At 36.7% G+C, this 26,374-nt stretch overlaps 1 protein-coding gene across 17 annotated transcripts in view, besides 2 other annotated features; it reads left to right on the forward strand.

The window, feature by feature from the left end:
• Positions 1-26,374, forward strand: part of ST7 (suppression of tumorigenicity 7) — a 276,676-nt gene that overhangs the window by 67,575 nt on the left and 182,727 nt on the right. The gene's annotated exons all lie outside the window — the stretch shown is intronic.
• Positions 3,605-3,694: an enhancer, noted in NCBI's record as "active region_26541". NCBI's record gives its function as "activates an Ori minimal core promoter by ATAC-STARR-seq in GM12878 lymphoblastoid cells {active_cell/tissue: GM12878}" and the evidence as "EXISTENCE:reporter gene assay evidence [ECO:0000049][PMID:35858748]".
• Positions 19,965-20,284: an enhancer, noted in NCBI's record as "active region_26542". NCBI's record gives its function as "activates an Ori minimal core promoter by ATAC-STARR-seq in GM12878 lymphoblastoid cells {active_cell/tissue: GM12878}" and the evidence as "EXISTENCE:reporter gene assay evidence [ECO:0000049][PMID:35858748]".

Raw genomic sequence — 26,374 nt, forward strand, 5'->3', positions numbered from 1 at the left:
AAAACATAGACATTATAGGTAGATTCAGAATGAGTAAGAAATCGCTTTATTTTTGAGGATGGATTTTTTTTTTTCCCACAGTGGCTTCAATTTTGATATGCTGGCTAGCATCACAGTCCAGCAGGATCATATCTTTTTAAAAACTTATACAATGAAATTGCTTTGGTGCAGAGAAGGCCCTGCACAATGGGCTAGGCAGGACAGCAGTTGTAGACAGCTACAATGGATATTTTAAAAATTACAACCAAACTATGTGAGGATTATTTAATGTTGATATAGAAATATAACGTCAATGCAGTTGTACAGGCTCTGCAGAATATTTTGTCATTGTCTATTAGCAAAAATGACAGTTAAGAATTTCTAAGAGATAAGAATTTCTAAAGAGACTTTCAACCTGCTGGCTAGAGCATTAAATATTGGCAAGCCACTATCTTTGCTAGGGAGAAGGGGTTTAGGGGAGGAATTTAGGAAACTGATTTCTTACGAACTTGTAATTTGACCTTTGTTTTTTGATCTCAGGTGATCAGTGTGACTGTTTGTGCATAGCTGATTATTACAGAATAGTAGCATTTCGAGAGAGCTAATAATCCTCAGTTCTTTTGTTTCTTGATTGGCTTTTTAAAAAGGTTAATTACTTTTGTTTCACTGTAGAAGCTTCTCATCTCAGACTACCACATTGCCTAATCAAAGTTGTGTTAGAATAATAGTGACAGGTAATGTCCCATTCAGCATGTGACAGTATTATTTCCTAATAATTTAGGCATAATTTTTTAATTCACTTAATGGTACATTTAGAATTGGTTATCTAAGAAATAGAAATAAATCACTAAGTGTCAAAGACCATCCAGTTTCATTTCAGTCATGGAATTTTGTTTATGCAGGAGCCTAGGTATGGACAGAAATAATTATATACTAAAGGAAAATTAGACCTGTTACTTGGTTTAGCCAAAAATGGAAGTTAAAACTCAGTGCAGAAGTCTTTGGTTCTTGGACTAGGGACTCTAACATTGTCTGCTCAGTGTTACCAAGCAGACACATAGCCTTTCCTGATCATCAAACCTGATCTTTTGATAATATCACCTATGCGCTGTATGGTATGTGTGAAAACTGCTGGTTGCTTGTGCCCTCCATAGCTGCTAAATTACTGAAGAGAATAGAATATCCTTCAGAAGACAGAATACTATCATACAGGTTTTTAGCATTTTTTGTCTTTCGTGAGTGTTAAGCTCTGTTTCTTGCTTATAGGTAGATTCGTACTGTCAGTGGATATCGTGTTGAAAATGAATTGCCTTCTTTGGCACGTGTATACCTATGTAACAAACCTGCACATTCTGCACATGTACCCCAGAACTTAAAGTATAATAATAATAATAAAAGAAGATTCCCTAAGTCTGCATTCAGTGTTAGGACAAGTGTATTTTCTTTGTGTTCTGAGACATAGCTTTCTTGGCCTTTGATGTCAACCTTTTGGAGGCTATTTTTTAGGTTTGAAACTGTACTTAAAATATTCAGGAAAATAGTCACATTTGAAATTCCAATTAGTTCAAAAGGGATCTCCCAAACCATCTAGGGTGTTCTTACTAAATTATCGTAAGAAATACTTGTTTAACTATCTATTCTGTATACAGTACTGTGGTAGATCCTGGTAAGGGTTAATTTTTTTCTAACTTATTCTGATTTCGTGATTCTTACCCTTGATTATGGTTGCAGTGCCTTACTTGTATAGGATGCTTTTACTTTTTAAATTGAGGTATGATTTACATGCAGTAAAATGCTTAAGTCTAGGTGTGCAGCTCAGTGAATTTTTGCCCATGTTTATACCCATAGAACTCTACTCAGCTCAAAATACAGAACATTTCCATTTCCCCTGGAAGTTCTCTTGTGGCCTTTCCCAGTCAATATTATTTCCCCTCTTCATGAAAAGGTAACCACTATTCTGACTTCTGATGCCATAGATTCATGTTGTAAGTGGCTCTTTTAAACTTTCTTTATCTCCCCCTTGCTCTTTGCCTGTAAGAGAAGGAAATGTCTTCATTTTCAAATATTGTATTGATTAAGTTGATTTTATGTTTCAGACCTTTGAGGTCAGAAATTTGCAGTAGCCTGGATATCACATTATAATACATTCTGTCTTACTGAAATAATATTGTTTTAAATACTTGCACCCTTCCTCACCAAAAAAAACAGACAAAAAAAGCCTTTAAAATACCAAAAAAATTATGTGGAAGAGTAAACGCTAGTTCTTCAAAGTTAAAGACTTACACAGCTATGGCAATAGAATTAATAAATGCTCTTTTATGCCTGACACTGCTTTCATCAATATCTCCAATGATACTAGTCTCATCTCTTTGACTTAGTGAATCTGAATCTCCCACAGTTGTGCAGATTGGCCACAGTCAGTCTATTTTGGGCTCACTTTGAAATGGGTGTTCTATAGTATGTGTAGACTAATCATCACAAAGCAGGAAGTATAGCTTCTGTAACTCCGTTTATTACCATCTTGATGTATTTCACTGAGCTTTTCCTTTACTAAAGTTTCCCATGTCTAAAAATGGGAGTAGCGTGTCTGCTCTTTAACTGCTTTGAAGATATACAGTTTTAGTTTCTGTGGTCAGAATACTTTAGGTGTAAGAAGAAAGTACTATCAAGTTTTGTTGAGGAAGGTGATAATTAAAATGTATATTTGGAGTTCTTAATTTGATTATATATATATATATATCGTGTGTGTGCGTGTGTGTGTGTGTGTGACGGAGTCTCACCCTGTTGCTCTGTGGCCCAGGCTGGAGTGCAGTGGCACAATCTTGGCTCACTGCAACCTCTGCCTCCTGGGTTCAAGTGATTTTCCTGCCTCAGCCTCCCGAGTAGCTGGGACTACAGGCATGTGCCATGACACCCAGCTAATTTTTGTATTTTTGTTCAGTAGAGATGCAGTTTCACCATGTTGGCCAGGCTGGTCCTGAACCCTTGACTGCAGGTGATCCTCCCGCCTCAACCTCCCAAAGTGCTGGGATTATAGGTGTAAGCCACCACACCTGGCTGATTTAATGATATATTTTAAAATAAATTGATTAAATTCTTCAAAATTAAACAATTTTTCTCTTAAAATTTTATAAGAGGAGAAAATATTTTTAGGGAGAAAGGGAGAAAAAATTTCATCCTTTCTTTTTGTGGAGTAAATGGTTTTGAGGAAAACTGATTTTGCACTGCTGACATCTGGTTACATCCTCCTTGATAAAGCCAGTTATTCTTCAAAGAGTAGATACTTTAAGTATGATGAATTATTTAATTAGCATTTATTGGGCTCAGTCCTCCTCTTGTCTCCTCTCCCATGTTTTGCTTTTTCAATTCTCAAGGGTACCACTTAAGAAGTACTGTGGTGGGAATTGTGCCCTGGTCTAACACGTTAATGCATCTTCCAAAGCACCTACCTTATTAGTTCAGTGAAGAGAGCAACACCTTACCTGCTGAGAAACAGAGTGTCCCTGGGGCAAATAGCATTATTTTATCCTTCTTCCAAAATTTTTTGTATAGTTATAATAATTAAAAAGAACATCTAGAGCATCTGTGGAGGGGGAAAATAAATCACCAGAGAACCAACAAAGCTTTAGTAGGATCCCCCAACCTGAGCTTAGTGGAGATGAGAAACTAGTGGATGGCTGTGTCAGGGGATCAGGAGTCCTCTTTAGCTCTGGTGTGGCTGGTCCACACATACTCCCTGCCATTCCCTGGATAGCTACATCACCTGGGGTAGGCAGCCAGATGCTGGCAATAATTTGGGATACAGTTTGATACCCCATGTGATTTGTCTTTGATGGGCATCAAAAGTTCAGTTGCTGCTTTTGGTTTTCATTACTGATGAGTGCATTAAGTTGAAACTGACAGCTTCTCAGTTTTAATAGGGAGTATGGTACCATGTTACCAAGAACTAGATAATTTTCTGAAATTTTGAGCCATTGTGTGAGAGGTAGTCAAATGAATAATACTCTAGCAATATTAAGTCATCAAGATACTGTAGTTAAACAGACATCTCTTTGATAAAAAAAAAGTGAGTTGTAGTCTTTTATGTGCATCTCAGGCCATTGTTGGTAACTGGTCACATGTGAGATTAAACTTGGGCCTGTTGTTTTGGTGTGTGATTTCTGTGAATTGGCTGAGATTTGAATAGTAACTATGGTCATTCAAAAATGGCTGTTCACATCTGGACCATTTCTCAAAATAAGCATCTAATTATTACTAAATCATTGTGTCAGAGACTGCTGTTTTTGCTGTTAGTATGTTTGGCATTTTAGTACTCTATTTGGTTTTCCTTTTTATTATTATTTGTCATATGAAACTAGGTAATTTAGGAACATGAGCCATTTTCCTTTCCCATTAATAACATTAATCTGGTTATTAGATTTAGCTGCATCGGATTTTAGATGCTTTCATCTTAAAACAAAAATAGAAATACTTAAGTATGTGCACAAAAACCCACCTCTAAGTCTGCACTTAGAGCATTGAATGTAAAAGAAAAATATTGCATGACATTAGATAAGTAGAAAACCACAGACTGCTGAAGTCACAAACATGGAAAAATAATTATGGATTATAGGCATTATACTGGAACATAGTCATACAGGAGCTTGAAAAAGTAAAACTCATGTAATGTATTTGACTCATCTTACCATATCACTTTTTCTTTTTTTCTGATAACACACATTCTGATGTGAAATTTCCGTTTGAGTTCCTTGGCTGTTAGTAGTTGACATTGTAATTTTTAGTATCAAGATAATATTTTAAAGTAAATAAGGAAATTTTTTTCTTCTGCATATTTATATACTAGTACAGAAATGGAGTAAAAATATGCAATGGTTATTTTTAAATCCTCAGATTTCTTATTTTCCCTTCAGTATTGGTCTATTTGTTAGTCTGTAGTTTGTTCAGAAAAAAAATTACATGTGAGTCTTCAGTGATTTGTTGTTTTCATTGTCACAATGGACCAGATTCATATCCTGTATAAACTGTGGGGAGTCTATGGGGAAAATTACCATATATGGAAACTTTCCCCATAGCATCCCCTTGGAGTTACACAGGATGTGAATAGGATTCATTGTTGTTATGGATTCTGAGCTGGAAAAGTCATTGATCATGTGTATTTTTTAAACATTAATAATAGTCACTGCATTAATTTATGTTCAAATACTGTTAAATTTTCAATATGAGACTATATGGACATTACAAATTGTATAGTCATTTATAGACTATAAATTGTATAGTCATTTTTTATTCCTTTTTGAAGAGTATTGATATCCTTCCATTTTTTCCTAGTCAATATAAAGCATGAGTTAACATAATTATTAATGTTTTTAACAAGAAAATGCACAAATGCTATATTATTTAAAAGGTCCCATTTACTGTGCTAGAATAGTAAATAATAAGATTTTCAATATATTTTATTTGTATTAGTAATTAATTCAGATACTTATGAGCAAAAAAATGAATATGCAATTTAATGCATGTTTAGAAATGGCAGCAACCACATGCCAGATGCAGCAACTAATTGCAGAGACTCTGGCTTTCACTTGCTTGGATTCATATCATGGCTCTACCGTGTACTACCAGGGTTTAACCATCTACCATCTAAGCTTACAGTGTGACTTATCCAATGAACTCTCTGTGTTAGGGGAACTGGCCTTTGGGGGCCTGGATATCTGCCAGGGTAGGGCTTATCAAGGGGTGTTTGTGGAGAGAGAGTCCAGCAGTGGAAAATACTGGCTGAAGAGAGATGTCACTTCTTAAGGCTGGGTGAAGACTGGAAGTTGTATGATGGGAATATTTTAAGGGACCCAATAGGAGGTTTGAGGGGAGGAGACTGTATGAAACTAATGAAATGTGAAATGGGTCAGGGTTGGCAAATGCCAGATGCCCTGTGGCAAGCATCATTGATTGGTCATGACACTCTTGCAGGATTAGCATCAGCCACTAAAGGTTGGAATGTTGTCCACTCAGAACACTTCATCAGTGCAAATGTTTTCCATGTAAGTATGAGTAATAGACACATAAATATTTAAATAAACATACAAATACTTACCAAATTAAGAATAAAGGGCTGGGCACAGTGGCTCACGCCTGTAATCCCAGCACTTTGGGAGGCCAAGGCAGGTGGATCACAAGGTCAAGAGTTTGAGACCAGCCTGGCCAACATGGTGAAACCCTGTCTCTACTGAAATACAAAAATTAGCCGGGCATGGTGGCGCATGCCTGTAGTCCCAGCACTGAGGAGGCTGAGGAAGGAGAATCGCTTGAACCCAGGAGGCAGAAGTTGTGATGAGCCAAGATCACACCACTGCACTCCAGCCTGGGCAACAGAGTGAGACTCCGTCTCAAAAGTGAAAAGTAAAGTAAAGTAAAAGTAAAGTAAAGTAAAGTAAAGTAAAGTAAAGTAAGTAAAGTAAAAAGTAAAGAGTAAAGTAAAAAAAAATAAAATATAAATAAAATAAAGTTAAGAATCTTAAGTGTTCCAGAAATGTCTCTCTTTAGACTCTGGGCGGGACATGGTGGCCCATACCTGTAATCTCAGCACTTTGGGAGGCCGAGGCATGAGGATTGTTTGAGCCCAGGAGTTGAAGACAAGCCTCGGTAACAAAGCAAGACCCTGTCTCTAAAATGAATGAATGATATAAAATAAACACACCAGTCTGTGTCACATTATGGTTCTCAGTAATGTCAATGTGTTAATGATTCAGAGCCACCACTGGGCTCTTCTGAATGAAATTCCTATCAGTTGACAATAAATCCCCAGAGTGTAGCAGGGTACCTAGCATATATCAAGTGCTCATGTTCTTTAAAATTTGAATCTGCTGTGGAGTAAGGTAATATCATTGAAAATATGATGTGTGGGCTTGTAGGGTGTTAATATTGAGTTTAATAAAATTTTCTAGGCCAAGGAGTTTATCACACATAATGGGTACATGTCAGAAACATGCCAGTAATCAGCTCTTGTCATCCTTCAGAGCAGGAACAAATGACCCAAACAAAATAATAGCATATGGACTTTTATTACTAAGCCCAAATTTGTTAGTGGGTAAACTACCATATACTGATAATTTGCCATGTACTGGTAAGTTGACTATGTCTAATCTAAGTTTGCTTACCATTCTTAAAGGTTAAGTAAAAATAATGAGTTACTAATAATCATCAGTTTATGTACAGCATGAAAATTGAGAATTGTTTGCTTGCAATACTGATATAATTTCAGGAACTAGAAAAATTATTTTACTTTTTTTTGTGAGCATTTCAGACTGTTAAGATTGAGGCTTTTGGCATATTTTGGGCAGTAGCAAGCCCGATTGTAAAGCGTATAGATTAGGAAATCACAGTGACTCCATTGGGGTATTCTTTACTACCTCCTCCACCTCTGGCTTCTTCTAGAACACCTAGTTTTCAGGGGGAGGCTTTGGTAGGGTCTGGCCTGGTGGTACGCATGGATGGTCCAAGCCCGGACTTGTCTCAGAAGTCTGAATTTCTCATCTGAAACTTTCCTAGGTCTTGTGTTGGTATAATGATGTTTCAGTTACCCATTGCTACACAACAAACTACCTCAAAACATACTGGTTTAAAACAATTATGTATTATTATCTTTCACAGTTCTGTGGGTTGACTGGACTCCATTGGTGGTTCTCATGAAGGGTCTCTTGCAGTTAGATTTCTGTCAGTGCTGTAGTCATCTAAAGGCTCACCTGAACTAGATCTCCAGGATAGCTCTGGCATATACTATCAGTTGAGGTTAGCTGTTGACTTAGGGCTCAGCTGGGGTTGTGGGCAGGAATGCCTATACAGTTGACCCTGGAACAACTTAGGGGTTAGAGGCTCTGATCCCTGCACAGTTGAAAATCCACATGACCTTTTACCACTAAAAACGTAACTACTAATAGCCTACTCTTGACTGTAAATCTTACCGATAACATGGATAATTAACACATATTTTGTATGTTAAATATATAGCTATAAATATATATGCTGCATATATAAATATTTGTGTATATTTCTTTATGTGGACATATGTTTTCATTTCTCTTAGGTAAATACCTAGGCATGCCATTGTTGAGAAACTGCCAAACCATTTTCCAAAGTGGTTATACCGTTTTACATTCCCACTAGCAATGGATGGGAGTTCACTTGCTTCAAATTCTTGCCAACATTTAGTATTGTCAGTCTTTTTAATTTTTGCCAATTTTGTGGGTGTGTAATGGTATATTGTGATTTTAATTTGCATGTCTTTCATTCTTATCATATTAAACAATTTTTCATGTTCTTTTTGGCCATTTGTGTATCTTCTTTCGTTGTGTTTGTTCAAATCCTTTGCCTGTTTTAAAAATGAGGTTGTCTTCTTATTACCGAGTTTTGAAGGTTCTTCATATATTTTGATACAAATCTTTTGTCAGGTGTATGTATTGACAATATTTTCTTATAGTCTGTAGCTTTCCTTTTTATTTTCTTAATAATGTTAAGTTTTTAATTTTGATGAAGTCCAGTTTATCAATTTCTTCTGTCCTATGTAAAAATATTTTGCTTATGTTATTGTCACGAATATTTTTCTCCTGTATTTTCTTCCAGATGTTTTATGTGTTTTGCTTCTATGTGTGCTATGATCCATCTTTAGTACATTTTTGTTTGTAATATGAGGTAATGGTAAATGTTCATTTTTTTTTTTTAGTGAAATGAATATTCACTTCTTCTAGCACCATTTCTTGAAAAGACTGTCATTTCTCCATGGAATTGGCAACTTTATCAGAAGTCAGTTCACCCTATATTTCTAGTCTATTTTATTCTAGGGATCTGTATATTTATCCTTAGGCCAATACTATAATTGTTATTACTGTATAGCTTTATGATCAGGTAGTGTAAGCCCTCCAAGTCTGTTCTTTTTCAAAATTCTTTTGGCTATATTTGATCCTTTCATATCCCTATGCATTTTTAAATTTGCTTGTCAATTTCTAAAAAAAGACCTGGGATTTTGATTGAGAGTATATTTAATCTATAAAGTAACTTGGGGAGGTTTGACATTTTAACAATATTAAGTTTTGCAATTCATGAACATGGTATATTTGTCATTTAATTTAGGTCTTTAATTTCTCTCACAATGGTGAAACCAGTTATAAAATTAAAAGAATAGGTTATTTTTCATTGATAGAAGAATACTTATTTGGAGTGGAATGACTTATATTACCCACTGAATATATGTTTCTAGGGAACATATAGTAAATGTAAAAGTGGTGGTATTAGTAAAGCATCATTAATTTGAATTTGGAGGAATTATTTGCACTTGTAAAAATCTTAAATAACCTGGAAAGTGAGATTTCACTAAACAGATGTTGTCATGAAGAAGTCTTTTGAGGGTATGTCTTAACAAATAGATTAGAATTGTTTATACATACAGGCAAAAAACAACCCCATTGAGAAGTGGGCAAAGGACATGAACAGACACTTTTCAAAAGAAGACATACATGCAGCCAACAAGCATATGAAAAAATGGTCAATATCACTAATCATTAGAGAAATGCCAATCAAAGCCACAATGACATACCATCTCATACCAGTCAGAATGGCCATTATTAAAAAGTCAAAAATAACAGATGCTGGTGAGGTTGCAGAGAAAAGGGAACGCTTATACACTGCTGGTGGAAGTGTAAATTAGTTCAGCCATTGTGGAAAGCAGTGTGGCAACTCCTCGAAGAACCAAAAACAGGATTAACATTCAACCCAGCAACCCCACTACTGGATATATACTCAAAGGAATACAAGTAATTCTACCATAAAGACACATGCATGCATATGTTCACTGCAGTACTATTCATAATATCAAAGACATGGAATCAACCTAAATGTGCATCAGAGGTAGACTGGATAAAGAAAATGTGGTACATATACACCATGGAATACTATACAGCCATAAAAAAGAACAAGATCATGTCCTTTTCAGGAACATGGATGGAACTGGAGGCCATTATCCTTAGCAAACTAACACAGGAAAAGAAAACCAAATACTGCATGTTATCACTTTTAAGTGGGACGTAAATAATGAGAACACATGGACAGAAATTGGGTAATAACAAACACTGGGGCCTACTTGAAGGAGGAGGGTGGGAGGAGGGAGAGGTTCAGAAAAAAAAAACCCACAAAAAACTTTTGGGTACTGCGCTTATTACTGAGGTGACAAAATAATCTGTACATCAAACCCCTGAGTCACGAGTTTACCTATATAACAAAACTGCACATGTACCCCTGAACCTAAAATAAATGTGTGTGTGTGTGTATATGTGTGTATATATGTGTATATATGTGCATATATACGCATATATGTGTGTATATGTGCATATATATGCATATATGTGTGTATATGTGCATATATATGCATATATGTGTGTATATGTGCATATATATGCATATATGTGTGTATATGTGCATATATATGCATATATGTGTGTATATGTGCATATATATGCATATATGTGTGTATATGTGCATATATATGCATATATGTGTGTATATGTGCATATATATGCATATATGTGTGTATATGTGCATATATATGTATATATGTGTGTATATGTGCATATATATGTATATACACACATATGTATATATGTGTATATATGCATATATATGCATATATATGCATATATGTGTATATATATGCATATATGTGTATATATATGCATATATGTGTATATATATGCATATATGTGTGTATATATATGCATATATCTATATCTATATCTATATCTATATCTATATCTATATCTATCTATCTATCTATATATATATATTTTTTTTTTTTTTTTGGCAATGGAGTCTTGCTTTGTCACCCAGGCTGGAGTGCAGTGGTGTGATTTTGGCTCACTGCAACTTCTGCTTCCCAGGTTCAAGCAATTCTCCTGCCTCAGCCTCCTGAGTAGCTGGGATTACAGGCAAATGCCACCACGTGTGGCTAATTTTTGTATTTTTAGTAGAGATGAGGTTTAGCCATGTTGACCAGGCTGGTCTCGAATTCCTGACCTCAAGTGATCTGCCCTCCTCGGCCTCCCAAAGTGCTGGGATTACACGAATGAGCCACCACGCCTGGCCTAGTTAAAATATTTTTAAAATTAAAAAAAGAATGGTTTTGTACTTAGAACATTTAAAAATTATGTTTATGTAAATGCTACTTTTATGGCCCTTAGAACATTTGTTCTTTCTCTTGTTTGTCGTATCTTAGGAAATCACTTTATTATATTTATATATATTTTACTCCAGTTCTTGCCAAATATTCACATTTCTTTAATTAGAAAGGTCTGAATTTATGAGTTTTTATATTCAAAAACAGGATCCCCTTTTTTATTAAGCTGGTTCTGTAGTCCTGTTGAGTTATCGACCTTTTTGAGACTCTAATAAATCTATGGATCCTTATGATCAAGAGATCTGAAACCAGACTTTTCTCTAAAAACAGATTCAGGATGACATTTGTCACCTTTAAAAATTAAATTGAATTTAAATTTATTTTTTAAGAACTTTTTCTAATTATTTGGCATTACTTGCAGTAATTTTCAAAGTCCTTAAACTTGAAGCCATGTTTGATAGAGATTGAATTGACCTGAAACAGCATGTTATGTATGTGCATAATAGATATGAATCTATAAACATATTCATCCACCTTTGTTTTAGGCAGCTTATAAAGCAGTAATCCTCCAACAATCTCTAGTTAATTAGTGTAGTCTTTTGAAAGCTGCAAGGGTGAATATACTTAGTGGATTATAGATTCATCTATGCTGACTTTCTCACCCTTTTTCTAAGTTAGTTCCAGGCAGGCCTACTCTGTTAGTTATTTTTATTGTAAATATATAACGCAGTGCTTAAGAACCTGGGCTTTGGGTCAGGCAGATAAGGGGGTCTAGTTTTACTATGTTGCTTTGGGCATCTTATCTGTTAGCTTCAGTTTGTTCATCTGTAAAATGGGGATAATATTAACCTCATGGGATTGTTGTAATGCTTAAATGAAATAAGTAAAATGGCAAGCCTTTAATGGCACATGATAAGCAATTGATAGGTTAATTATTTTTGAAGATTTCCATACCAGGAACACATTACATAGCAGCATCAACATGCTGTGTATATATTTGATATAAAATAAAGTACAAGCTAGAATAGAAATGGCAGCATTGAATGTACAAATGGCAAATAATGAGAAAAAATTGTTTTAAATGGAAAAACTTATTAAGTTTGGTTCCTGTCGTCTGGCAGTTTACATTCTAAGGGGATGAGATGAATGAAATTATAATTCATGCATGTCTGCTTTATATTGATTTGTATTACTGTTTGTATACATGCTTTTTTTTTTTTTTCTTTTTGGAGACAGAGCCTTGCTCTGTTGCCCAGGCTGGAGTGTCGTAGTGCAATCTTGGCTCACTGCAACCTCTGCCTCCTGGGTTCAGGTGATTCTCCTGCCTCAGCCTCCTAAATAGCTAGGATTACAGGTGCCCGCCACCATGCCCAGCTAATTTTTGTATTTTTAGTAGAGACTGGGTTTTACTGTGTTGGCCAGTCTGGTCTCGAACCTTTGACCTCAGTTGATCCACCTGCCTCAGGCTTCCAAAGTGCTGGGATTACAGGCGTGAGCCAGCACGCCGAGCCTCATCCTGTATTTTTTAATGTTCTGTTGTACTTTATAATGGAGGGAGCATCTCTTCTGGTTTACATGCTCTGGAGTCAGTCAATAGACTGAAATGCTCATTCTACTAGCTGCACGACCTTGAGTAGATTAACTTCTCTGGCTTCAGTTTCTTACCCTGTAAAGTAGGCTTATACTGTGTCATGGAGCTGCTATGAGGTCGTTTTTATTGTTGTTGTTCTTCTTCCTTTTTTTGTTTAGAGACAGGGCCTCACTCTGCACCCAGGCTTGAGAGCAGTGACACAATCACAGCTCATTGCAGCCTCAACCTCTGGGCTCTTGGTGATCCTCCTACCTCAGCATCTCAAGTAGATAGGACCACAGGTGCACACCACTATGCCCTGCTAATATTTTATTTTTTGTAGAGGCAGTCTTGCTCTATTGCCCAGGCTGGTCTTGAACTCCTGGGCTCAAGCAATCCTCCTGCCTCGGCCTCCCAAAGTGCTGAGATTACAGGTGTGAGCCACTGTGCCTGGCCTGCTGTGAGTTTTAAATGCCTTAAAATATTTGTTGCCTAGTAAAGGCTCAATGAATGCTACCTACTGTTATTAGGTATTATTATATTAGTCATTTATGTTATTGCTTATCCTTCCAATTGCATTCAATATGCCCATTTAAACATTTGCTGTATGAAAATCTATGATGTGGGAGGGGTTAAAAGTTATTTAAAGACAGAACATCAGTGGTTCTAGGTTTTATGCTCACCTCACCTAATATTTAGTCTCATCTCTCAGAGTATCTTGCTTATTAAACACAATAAGGTCAATACCTTTTCTTTATTCATGAAAATGTCTGAAATGTGAATGGAATTTATACCCTTGTAATGGTATCATATTTTAACTTAATATTTAAGGAGACTCTAAATACTAATAATCACTCATTGGTTTATCTAATTTATATGTCTGTAGCTTTGTTAGATTTACTTAAAGTCATGCATATAAGTTCTTTTTTTAAAAAGCTTTATGATATTTTGATATAGATGTCATAGCATGCTTTGCATTATTTGACCTCCATTTAGATGGATTAAGTGGAATTTTCTTCGCTGAGGAATTTCATAAACCCTTTTTGACTTTTAATTGGGATGGACAGAGTTATCACTATGTAAGAAGGGAAATAATACACCTAAGAGTTTACTTTCTGGTTTGTTTCTTTTAGGATTTATACTAACATGCATCCAAGATGTTTTGTTTAGTTGTGTAAGGGTGATCCGGAAACAGCATTGCTACCCTCCAAGACTTATGCTTAGAATGAAAAACTTTTACTGTGGTGTCGCAACATGAATAATTTTCCTTCAGACTTTCATGAGGCCAAGACCATGTTTACATTTAATTCCATGCAGAGGACTGGCAAGCTGGGCAGTTTTTTTTTTTTTTTTTTTTTTAAAGATATAAAATACACAGGTCCCTGAGTGCTTGGGTCTTCATATGCTCTGGAATTACCAGCTGCACACCTGACTATAGTCTGTTTGTTTTTAATATTAAATTGACCTTTTCCAGCCTCTCTTGTTGAGGAAGTGGAGTCTGAGTAACACCAGCTGTGTGTGGTGTCAGGCTGGAACAATAATTCAGGGATGCAGAATATGGCTCGCCTTTGTTTCCTGAAATTGTGCATTGATTTCTTTTGTCAGTAGACTGTTTCAAATGAATGGAAGAAACATTTTCTATTTTTAATTTTTTTGAGGGGTGGCAGACTTCTTTCAAAAGCAAATAATTCATCTGCAAATTCAAATTCTATTTGGTACATCTAATTTGCTTAAAGTAAAACACGCATATATAGTAGAAATTTTAACTGAGTCAATTTCATAGCTGTCAGAACCTTTCTCATCACAGCAATTTGATTAAAGTTTTTTTTAAGGCTTTTTCATTTTTAATAAGGGAAATATCTCCATTATAACCACTGCTGCCAGCAGGAGGACATTGGTTTTCATGAATATTTTTGGAATTTTCTCTACCTCACATTTTTAAGTAGATAAAACTGAGTTAGGTTTATAGAGTTAATTTCTCCTCTTCTTTGGCATTGAATGTACTCTAATTTGTAGCTTTAAAAATTAGAATCAGTCTTTTTTTTTTTCCTGAGTGAATACATTTTTTTGTAGGATAGATGGTTCTTAAAGAATACGTTAGTTCAGGATCTAATATGAATCAATAAATTTTTGCTGATAATATGAACGACCAGATGATTGGGAATTCTTGAGAAGTATACAAGAAGTTTATAGCTTTATTACTATTTCACAACTGATTCTGGAGGTTTCTTAGGATATTAGCGTTATAAGCCTGAGGTAACTGGTTTTTCTTTTTCTGACCTGGGTGCATTTGTGGAGTCTGAGGCTGACAAGTGAAATAGTTACTAGCTGTTTAATAAATCTCCCGAATTGTTTGGTACTGTTTGGCAAGCTTACTCCGCATATTAAGTTTTGACTTTCCTGTGTTTTATTGGAACTCTTTGTTCCTGAAGCACTAACATTTCTATTTTGTCTTTCATGCAGTTAGCCACCTCCCTAATGGTGACCAGTCCTCTGCAGGCAATCAGGTCACTGCTACAAGTGACTGGCTGTCAGCCCAAATGATGCAGAATATTTTATCATTTGTAATGTGTGTGGCCCTCAAAAACATAATGTCTGGAATAAGGGATAACATGACATTTATCATGATCAGTGGAACTGGTTAATCTGGTCAGGAAACGACTGAATATTTTACGTATTTAGCTGACTGGGCTTTTATTTTGTTTATTTGATTTTGAGAATTGACAGTAGGAATAAGCCTGGGTAAACAGCAGTGCTAGGCTCTGCACTTTTTGTTTTCTATCCAGCTACTGTGCAAATGAGATATGATAATTTAAGGCCCCTTTTGGGAGAACCATGTTAAAAAGAGAAAGGAAGCAGGGACAGGGGCATTTAGGTGGCAATTGTCTTTCACTGGGGTAGCCATATATCATATTCCCATGGTATGATATATCATATACATATGGTATGATATGATATCATATACTTTTGGATTTGGCTGCCCACTTGGTATTATGAGATATTTGCATCATAATAAAATGCTCTGCATTTTGGTAGAAAGCCCTAGTTGCTTGAATCTCTCAATCTAAACTCAGTTTCAAATCCTTTCCTAGGGGTATGAGTAGGTGTGATAACAGTTTCAGACTTTTTTTCTTTCAGCGCTTCAGCCTAAAGGCCGCTTACAGAATTCAGCAGGTGTGCTTCCTAATAAGCTTCCTCCTTCTCTAACACAAGTAAAAAGCCACAGGTTGGACCCAGCATTGTGGCTCTAGGAATGCTGGCAATACAAGTGGAGAGAGCAGCTCTGCCCTGAACAGCTGCCATGGAAGTCGCATGGACAACCGGAGCAGTTGCCTGAGCCACGTTTTGTGAGGCAGTCTTCCCCCTAAACATTGGTATTTTATACTGGTGATTAGGATAATTTAGCATTTGGGAGGAAGGTCCTGTGACCTTGTATTTCATATGAAAATATGCAGTATTACATTTTTATGTTATGCCCTTAATGCACAGCCCTACCACAAAAGCTTCCCAAGGAGAGGCAATTTCAGGCTGATGAGGAAAGGATTTTATGATGCCATTTAAAGAAAGAAGGCAGTCAAATGCAATCAATTAGAATGAGGTACAAAACAGATGAGCTAATGGCAAAAGACTGATCCAAAAAGGTTGGCCATGGCATCTAACATCACCTTGTAACCTGAGTTACAAATAGACCTTTTCTTTCAGAATTGAGATACGGGAGTGCTGTGATCTTTTCACATTGTCCTATTGGGGCTGGTGAGAATATGTTTTATTCAGTTTTCATGAAACTATTAAAATGATCCATTATATGTTCAGCACATTGTGTTGCACATAAAGACTTTTTTTTCTATTGTTCTCGTGTTCCCCAAGGTCTTTTACTGCTAGCCTATGCTTCTGAATGTGTGAGGGATCAAATGAGACTTCCGATTATATGGCAAATAGCATCATCTTGAATTTTGTGAAATTATTTCTGGATAGGATTAAATCCAGTATCTGACATTATGGTTTAGCTCATCGCTTCCCAACCTGTAAGCTCTCTTCTCAATGGCCAGTGGATGCTTTGGGAAATAATTTAAATCTGCGGTGAAATAATTGGTCCAGATAATTGTGCTCAGTGTGTGGAGATGTTGATGATTGATATCTTGATATAAGCTGTGTTCTTTAAAGGGGACTGCTTAGGAGAAGGGGCTGGACTTTTTATTGCTATAGCCTTAACTGAAAAAAAATCTGATGGTAGATGTTTGACAATAAAAAGATAGATCCAATGTGATAACTTTTTAAAGAATAATTTTCTGTAATTTTCCTGGAGTCATCTTCATTACTAAAGGTCATTCCCAAGCTAATGGCAAAAACTCCCAGTACACTAAATAAAGGGACCACAGCAAATTGTAGGGTTTGTGACAGTTCCTACTGCTGGGAAAGGCTTGTTCACTCTTGGTTCCTGCATTAACCTATGCAGGGTAGTTTTAGTCTACCTTGTTAATACTACTTTTTCTCTGTTGGGTATTGATTAACACCTAGTGATGCTGTCATTTCTTAATGCTAGGGTGAGAGCTATTTTTTAGAACACAACAGCATTTTAATCTTTCCAGTGTCTAAAGCAATTTTTTTTAACATGTCAGAGTTCATTTTCATTGTGGATGTCTTAATACCAATAAAAAAGGAAGGAAGAAGAAAAAGAAGGATCTGAGCTATGAAGTCAGACAGATTGGGATTGATTTTGGTTCTGCCCTTGACTGGGCTAGTCATCTTGGGCAATTTTATAATCTTTCAATTGAGGACAATATTCTGCTCATAAACTTGCTGTAAAGGTAAATGAGACAGCATATGTAAATATATGCTTAGTACAGTGCTCCACATATAGTAAGTGTTGAATGCATAGTTATATAAGTATAAATGTGGATAAACATGTATCGAGCACTTGGAAGGCAGTGTATTAGGGGATTTACACTATAGGCAGATACACAGATATATGTAAAGGGGGGAGTGTGTGTATAAAATTTAGTGAACGTTTCTAGCTGTGTCTTTAAAGCAGAGTGCCCTGCTCAAGAAATGAAAGATTTTATGATGATTAATAACATCCAAATCCTTCCACTCAATGATATCTTCTCTTAATATGTCTTACAGTTTTTGAGTGATTTGTGTAAAAGGATATTATTTTATATATATTACTTACAATCTGCCTTTTTTCATTTAATAATATTTAATAAATACTTTTCATAATACTGAATTTAACAGCCACAGAATACTTTGTTGTAGTTTGAAACATATTTTTTTAGCTAATCCTTTATGAGTGGTTACTTAGGTTTTCTTTTTTTGCATTTTTTTCTCTATAAATAGATGTGGCAGACATTCTTCAGGTTAAATCTTTGCACGTAACCATGCTTTTTTCCTTAGGATACATTCCTGGAACTAGAATTGGAGGCCAAAAGGCTTGCCAAACTTTAAGATACCTGCTTCCTATTACCAGGTTATGTTGGAAATTTGTACTTCTTTGCTATATATTTAAAAATATTGGCTGGGTATGATGGCTCATGTAATGTCAGCACTTTGAAAGGCCAAGGCAGGAAGATTGCTTGAGGCCAGGAGTTCAAGACCAGCCTGGGCAACATAGGGAAACCCTGTCTCTACCAAAAAATAAAAAATTAGCTGAGCATGGTCTCATGTACCTGTGGTCCCAGCCACTCAGGAGGCTGAGGTGGGAGGATCACTTGAGCCTGAAAGGTCGAGGCTGCAGTGAGCCCTGATGGCATCACTGAACTCCAGCCTGGGCGACAGAGTGAGACCCTGTCTGTAAAAGCAAAAAAAAAAAAAAAATTTTATCCAAACTCTGAATTTGTAAAGACATGGAAGAATGCACTAATATCATTTGCTTTCTGCCTTTTATGTAGGAAAAATACATCTTTTTATTTTATTTTTAAAAATTTATGTTTTTTATGTTAAGGTGGCTGAAAACAAATCCCTCCTCTCTACACTGCACTTCAGTACTTCCCAGTAGGGTGTGTAGCACCCTTGCTTAGGCTGAGATCTTGGTAAGTCTGACTTGAACTCATTCTGGGCCAGTTATCCCACATCTTCTGTAGTCGCAAATCAGACTCTCTTGCCTGGCCAAGCATCTTGCAAATCTTGGACAGGTGTCCCAAGGGAAATAATCTGTCATGGAAGCTAGAAGAGCCCAAGAAGAGCCATCATGCTTGCACATGAAAACAGTTCATTGTAAGAAATTCAGTCAGGTAGGATTTGGATGTTATTAATCATCATAAAATCTTACATTTCTTGAGCAGGGCACTCTGCTTTAAAGACAGAGCTAGAGGCTGGGCTCGGTGGCTCACGCCTGTAATCCCAGCACTTTGGGAGGCAGAGGTGGGTGGATCACGATGTCAGGAGTTCAAGACCAGCCTGGCCAACATGGTGAAGCCCCCTCTCTACTAAAAATACAAAAGTTAGCCAGGCTTGGTGGCAGACGCCTGTAATCCCAGCTGTTTGGGAGGCTGAGGCAGGAGAATTGCTTGAAACTGGAAGGCAGAGGTTGCAGTGAGCCGAAATCGCAGCCACTGCACTCCAGCATGAGTGAAAGAGCGAAATTCTGTCTCAAAAAAAAAAGAGTTAGAAACATTCACTAAATTTTATACACACATACACACACACACACACACCCTTTTACAGATATCTGTATATCTACGTATAATGTAAATCCCCTAATACACTGCCTTCCTAGTGTTCAATACATGTTTAGTGGGTAGGTATATATTTGCTCTTCGCATAGTAAATACCCTCTCTGGGCAGCACATTTCAACGGAGCAGGTTGCTTCATAGTAATTCTTTAGGGGATGGTCATGGGTAAAGCTTTTTAAGGATTCATCTAGTGATCCAATTCATTTCTTTGCCACTGGGTCTAGTTGTACTTGTTGGTCACTATGAAGTGCTGATTGGTCCAATTCCTCTTGGGAAAAACATTTACTGGGAGGCCAGGTTGCTGATATATTTAGGCTTCCATATTTGCATTTAAAATAATCTATGCAATAATGTCATTGCCAAAAGGGTCCACAATTAACTCTGAATTAATCTACTATCTTGAAGAATATTCTTTACTAATTTCATTCTGTAGAACTTATTCCATGGAACTACACACATACACATCCCATCAAACCTTATTATTCACCTTTTTGCCTCTCTTCTTCCCTACTTCCTTCACTATCTACCCCTTTGCTTTCCTTTTCTCTGGATTGAGTAAAAGTTACCATTGGTAGATGGTGCTTTGTAGAATGTTTAAGGATTTCTCTGGGGAACAGCGCTTCAGGGCTGTATCTGTCTTGTGGTGTGAGGGCCCTCAACATGAACAAGAAAGCCTGAGTGATGTTTGTGCAAGGATATCAGCTGATTTTCATGTAAGGAGTTTCGAGATGTGTCATCTGGCAATGTAGAATTGAATCTTTACCACATGTTCATTTTTCTACACTGAGAATGAATGTAATTCTAGTAGATGAGCAAGCAGATTGATTGGTTATTCATTGCAAATTCTGCTATTACTGGAGTGTTCTGCTTTTCTCTTCCAGTGAAGCCTAGAGATGTTTAGTGCCAAAAAACCATGTTACAGTCACTAAATTAGCCAGAGCTATAAGACAGTGGTATGGATACTTTTAAAGGATTAATATTAGCAAAGAATGAAGGTCTGCAAAGTGGTTGCTACTGGGAGAAATTATTTGATTAATGCTTGGTGCTAACTGGAATGTTTTCTTCTTTTTCATGTTTTCCTATAAATTGTTTCCCATTTGCTTTATTACTTTTGACATCTATCTTATATATCTATATATAAGATCACTTTTCACATATAAATGCCCCTTCTCTCTGCATATATGTATTCGCTGCATAGGGTATTTCAATAAAGCATATTTTGCCTTAAAGAAAAATAAGAAAGCCTCTTTCCCTGAACTGTGTACCCATACCTGTGGTAAACACAGTAATGGCCCCCAAAAATCTCTATGTCCATGTCCTAATCTCTGAAACCTGTGGATATGTTATATTAAATGGCAAAGGGAAATTAAGGTTTAAACCAGGCAGAATTAAGGTTGATAATAGACTGATTTTAAAATATGGACATTATGCTGAATTATCCAGGTAGGCTCAGTGTAATCACAAGGGTCCTTAAATGTCGAAGAGGAAGGCAGAAGAGGTCAGAGTAATGCGATATGAGAAGAACTCAACCTGCCTTTGCTGGGTTTGAAGATGGAGAGAGAGGGCCACAAGCCAAGGAATGTGGATGACCTTACATAACCTTTGAGAAATATTCTTGCATAATAAATACACATACGTATTTTCTCCTCTTTATTTTACACAAACAGGAATTTACAGTCCACACTTTTGTATTATTTGAGTTTTTGCTTTTTTAATCAAGTGTTTAAAAAAGATGTAGAGACTATCTTTAGATCAATTACTTTCTTTTTAAAAACAGCTTCTAGTAGTCTTTTGTATGACCATACTACAGTTTATTTAAATAATTCTCTACTGATGGAACTACTAGGCTATTTTCAGTTTGGGCTATTACAAGTCTTTGTGAATATACACAAATATATTTGCAGCAGAAATTCCCCAAAATGGAGTTGATAGATCAGTTTATAAATTTAAAGGTCAAATGACTAAATTACTCTCCAAAAGAGTCATCCAATTTATACTGTTTTATTGCCTCTGTCTGGGCTAGAGTGTACCTTGATTATTAATTATAATGAAGTGGGAAGTATAAGATATTAAAAGACAGAGATTAGACGAGTATCACTCTGTCTTTATTCCCTATTAAATATAATTCCAAACACGGTGGCATGATTGCCAGTGAGTTCTTCAATGTGTCTTTTTCCTTATGGCATTCTTCACTCTTGTAGACATTTTAAATTTTCATGTAGTCAGATTTATAAATTTTTCATTTATGGCTTTTGTTTTGTGACTTGCCTTCTCCAAGATTTTAAAAAAATATATAGACCTCCCACCTTTCTTTTTAGTACTTTTGTGCTTTCCTTTTTTACTTTTGAATCTTTGATCCAGTTAGAGGTTTTTTTCCTTTAAGGGAAAATTCATGCAATTAAATATTAAAATGAGATTTGACATAATCTCTAGGTCCTTTATGTTAACTGTATAATATATTTTAGCATAGTGGTTCCACTCTATATATATTCTTTCATCATGATTGTAATTCATACATAATTTTTTTACTTGAAGTTTTTAATATAATTGTTTAGGAATGGATTAAGTAATGTTTTGAACCTCATTGCAACACATAAAACAATTCACCTTTTTGTTTTAGAACTAATGTAATCCATAAAGGATTAAATAGACATGTAATAATGAGTTTTCATTGAATCATCACAAAACACATGCTATTAATAATCTTTGGATATTTTCTAGCTCTCTACTTCCTCACGTCTGATTACAGCAATTTGGGGGAGGAAAATGTATTCAGTCTTAGTAATTTTTTATTTTGACTTAAAGCCTCCCAGTGGAGGAATAAAGATGAATTATTTTTGCTTATAGTCTTAGAGTTGTTGTTAGAAATTGGTGTTGATGAAAATAATGACTAATGAAGCAAGCATTGGTATGTGTTGCTGGGACCTTTGAGACTATTCCTTTTCAGTTTTTCCATTGTGGCCTAAGAATATTCTGTCTGCTATTTGAAGAAGTCATGTTTGAGCCAAATTAAATTTTCAGGTCAAGAAATATTTACTTGATTAAACATAAATTACTTTTGTGACAACTGCCTCATATTCCCAAGTCAACAAGCCTTCTCAGAAGAGGTCAGGGAGTTTCCTATATTGTTTAATTGCCTTTAACCAATGGAAGCTTGTCATAAATGGGGTCTAAAGGGAGCCTGACCTCATCTCCCAAGGTGAAGAAGTGATTGTCTACACCATCATAAGACAAAGATGTTGCTATTCATTGCAATCCCTCAGATTATTTCATAAACGTTACTTCAGTTCCTCAGATTTTATTATTAGTGCTATCAATTTTTAAGTCCAAACTTGCAAAATAACATCACCACACCCCTGTGAGATAGCAAGTATTATTTCCATTCTCAGTTGCAGATTCCAGTTGAGTATTAATGCCTGTTTTGCCTGAAGATGAAGATAATGATCTGTATTTCTTAACTTTTTAGCCAGTTTTCCTTAATTACATTTGCATTTTTTAGGGTCAGAGAGTTTTTGAGAGGACATACTCTTATCAGGGACTACTAAGACCAGGACTTACTCTGCATCTTGAACCACTCTGCCTCTTGTCATTAGTTTTCAACCTACGTTGTTCTTTCTCAGTACACATCCCTGGGATCGGTTCTTAAACACTTACCTTTTCCCTTTCCTTCTCTCTTAGATGTCTTTTTTCTTTGGCTTCATAAAGAAAAGAAAGGGGATCATTGGCAGTTTTGATTTACATATCTGATGGAATTTCGTTTTAGTGGCAGGGATTGGCTTGCATGAGGGTATCTTTCCAACAAAACAAATTTGTTAACATCACTCATTTGCTTAAAAGCCTGATAAAGTCAGCATCATTTGAAAGCTCGGCAGGTACTAGGTACCTTCTAGGTGCTTTGTATATTCATGTAGATCCCTAAGGTAGGCGTTTTTTTCGAGACAGAGTGCAGTGGCACAAGCTCAGCTCACTGCAACCTCTGCCTCCTGGGTTCAAGCAATTCTTGTGCCTCACCCTCCCGAGTACCTGGGAGTACAGGTGTGTGCCACCACGCCCATCTAATTTTTAAAAATATTTTTAATAAAGATGGGGTTTCACCATATTGTCCAGGCTGGTCTCGAACTCTTGACCACAAGTGATCAGCCTGCCTTGGCCCCTAAGGTAGGGGTTTTATCATACCATTTCATTCAGGGGAAAAGGAATTCAGAAAAAATTTAAAGATGCTTGTGTAAGGTCACACAACTGTTGTCAGTGCCAAGAGTCAAACCCAGCGTTCTGTGACTTCAAAGTTAATGTTTGTTCATTCATTTAGTCTCACCTCTCTAAACACTGTGTATTTGCAGACATCTCCCGAATTCATATCTCTAGTCTAGACCTCCCTGAGCTCAAACCTGCTCACCCAGTTGCCTAGTCAGCATCTTCAGCTGGATGTCTCACAAATACTATATGTGAGATGTGTTCCAAAACTGATTTCTAATGCCTCTCCCCCCTACTACTCACCCAGTCATCACCTTCTCAGGTTGTGGCTGCTTCATCCTTCCAGTTATTGAGACCAAATACTTTGAGGTTATCCATGACTCCTTTATTTCTGACACTCCACATGCACTGCCAGTAAGTGTTGTTGACTTTACCTTCAAATGTATCACCATTGCCTCCACCATTACTACCTTAGTCCAAGACACCGTCTTCTGCCTGGGTTACTACAGAGGTCTTATTATTGGTGACACTGTCTTCACCTTTGCTTCCCATCAGCCAGAGAGAGCTTTTTCTAACTCCAGTCAGACCTTGTCACTCTTCTGCTTAAACCCTCCAGTAGTTTTCCATCACCCTCAGAATTAGAGCCCTAGCAGATCTGGCCATGATACCTCTCTGATGTTACCTTCCATAGTATTCCCTCTTCTTAATCAGCTCTAGTCACATAGGCCTGCCTGCTCTCCTTGGATACACCAGGTACACTGCTGCCTTAGGGACTTTGCGCTTCATGGTCCCTCTTTCCGGAATGTTCTTTCTCCATATCTGCATGGCTCACTCCCTTATTTCTTTAAGTCTTTGAGCAAACGGTATCTTCTCAATGAGGCCTGCCCTGACCATCCTACTTGCTAGCACTCATCTCTCGTACCCTATTTAATTTTCCTCCATTGCACTTATCACTTTCTAATAGATGATACAATTTACCTATTAATGCATATTATCTATCTTCCCCAGCTTCTAGCCTCCCATTCCCAAATGAAAGCTCCACAAGGACAAGGGTTTTTGTCTGCTTGGCCCATTGTATGCCTGGCATTAGGTCAAGACCTGGCACGTTGTTGCTGACCAATAAAACCTGTGGAATGAATAAATTTACTCACAAAGTATTAAGCTCTGTGCTGAGACTGAGGGATACAGGGACCATCTCTGGCTTTCAAGTTTTTAATGGATTCTGCTTTTTAGGATTTCTACCTTTCAGTTAAAGGGAAATCAAGTTCTAGAGGGGTTCTAACCCCCAGTGGTGAAAGCAACCAGCATGTGTTGAGCAGTTGTTTTATACCAGATGTTTCATATAGAGGGATAATGTATTCATTCACACCTTACAACAATCCCATGAGGAATATGTTATCTATGTTTTGCAGATGAGGAAACTGTGGTTTAGGGAAATTATGTACCTTGCTGAAAACCAGCTTCCCTGTAAGTGGTATAAGGAAGAGTCAGACCCATATCTGTCTGTTGGTGGTGTTTTTTTTTGACTGTGTCATGCTGCTTTTCTAACAGCTCCACCATCACCTGTAGGGTGAACCCTGTTTCTTTCCCGCAGCATATAAGACGCTTCCCTGTCTGTATTCAGCCTGTCGGGCAAGGCTTCGTTTTTCTGTCTCCTCTGGGACACTGCCAACTCCAACTTCTCTATGAAGTCTTGCTTTTCACCTAAAAGACCATATGCTTGCAGTTTCACACCTCTGCAAAGTGTTTTCCCTCTAACTGAAATGGCTTTTCTTCCCTTTTCTGCTTGGTGAATCTATGCTTGTCCTTTGCATTCCAGCTCATGTGTTACTTCCATGAAGCCTTTTTTAGCTTCTCTCAGGGACATAGTGGGTCACTGCATGCTGCTCCCACACAGTACCACCTGTTATTCCTACACTGTGTTCCAGTTAGTCTACCAGAAATGGGGCTTTCTTCTATTCTTCTTTGTTTTACCAATGCCTAGGACAGGGCCTGGACTATACCATATAACAAGTAAATGTTTATTTTGTGATGTAAAGGTGATTTGTGCAATAATGGGTAATGGAAACACTTAGGGATTTAGAATTTAAACATGGAAGAATGACAGGTATAATCTGATAAAAGTCTAAATGACACCTCAGAAATTCTCTGTAGATGAGGCGCTCATTCATGTATTCATGGCTATAAAGTAGTTATTAAGTACATGGACTTAATGGGTTCAAAACCCAGTCCTTACATTTACTGCAGGTTTAATGTTAAATTATTTACCTCTCTGAGCCTCTTCTTCATCTATGAAATGGAGGATAATATTGTACTTACCTAACAGTGTTGCCAGGAGGATTTAATGACAGAGCCTGCCGCATATTGAACATTAAGTAAATATATATAATTACAGCAAAGTTTTCTGGAGGAGTTAGTATTTGTACTACATGGTCTTGGATCTAAATTGCATTGGATACATTGAATGAAATACTAAACTAAGGACATCGGTCATTAAAAACTAGGGAAGCCCATGGTTTTTGATGTTCTTATGGGTTCATCCTTCAGAGTGATTCCTACCACTCATCTTTTTTTCCCTAGGTAAAAAGCCCCATTTGAAGTTATAAGTTGAAAATGTTAAACATTTAAGCAAAGAGGATTTAGAAATTGTTTTTATGACAGAGGAAACAGAACCTGGGAATTGTGTGTTTCTTCAGAACGACTTAATTACAGGGAGTGACAACTTTGTTGTTCATGAGATGGATTGTTTTACGAAATAGAGCATTTGATTGTAAGAACTGAATCCTGCCCAGAATCTGTCT

The sequence above is a fragment of the Homo sapiens genome, chromosome 7 (genome assembly GCF_000001405.40).
Source record: "Homo sapiens chromosome 7, GRCh38.p14 Primary Assembly".
In the NCBI taxonomy this organism is placed as follows: Eukaryota; Metazoa; Chordata; class Mammalia; order Primates; family Hominidae; genus Homo; species Homo sapiens.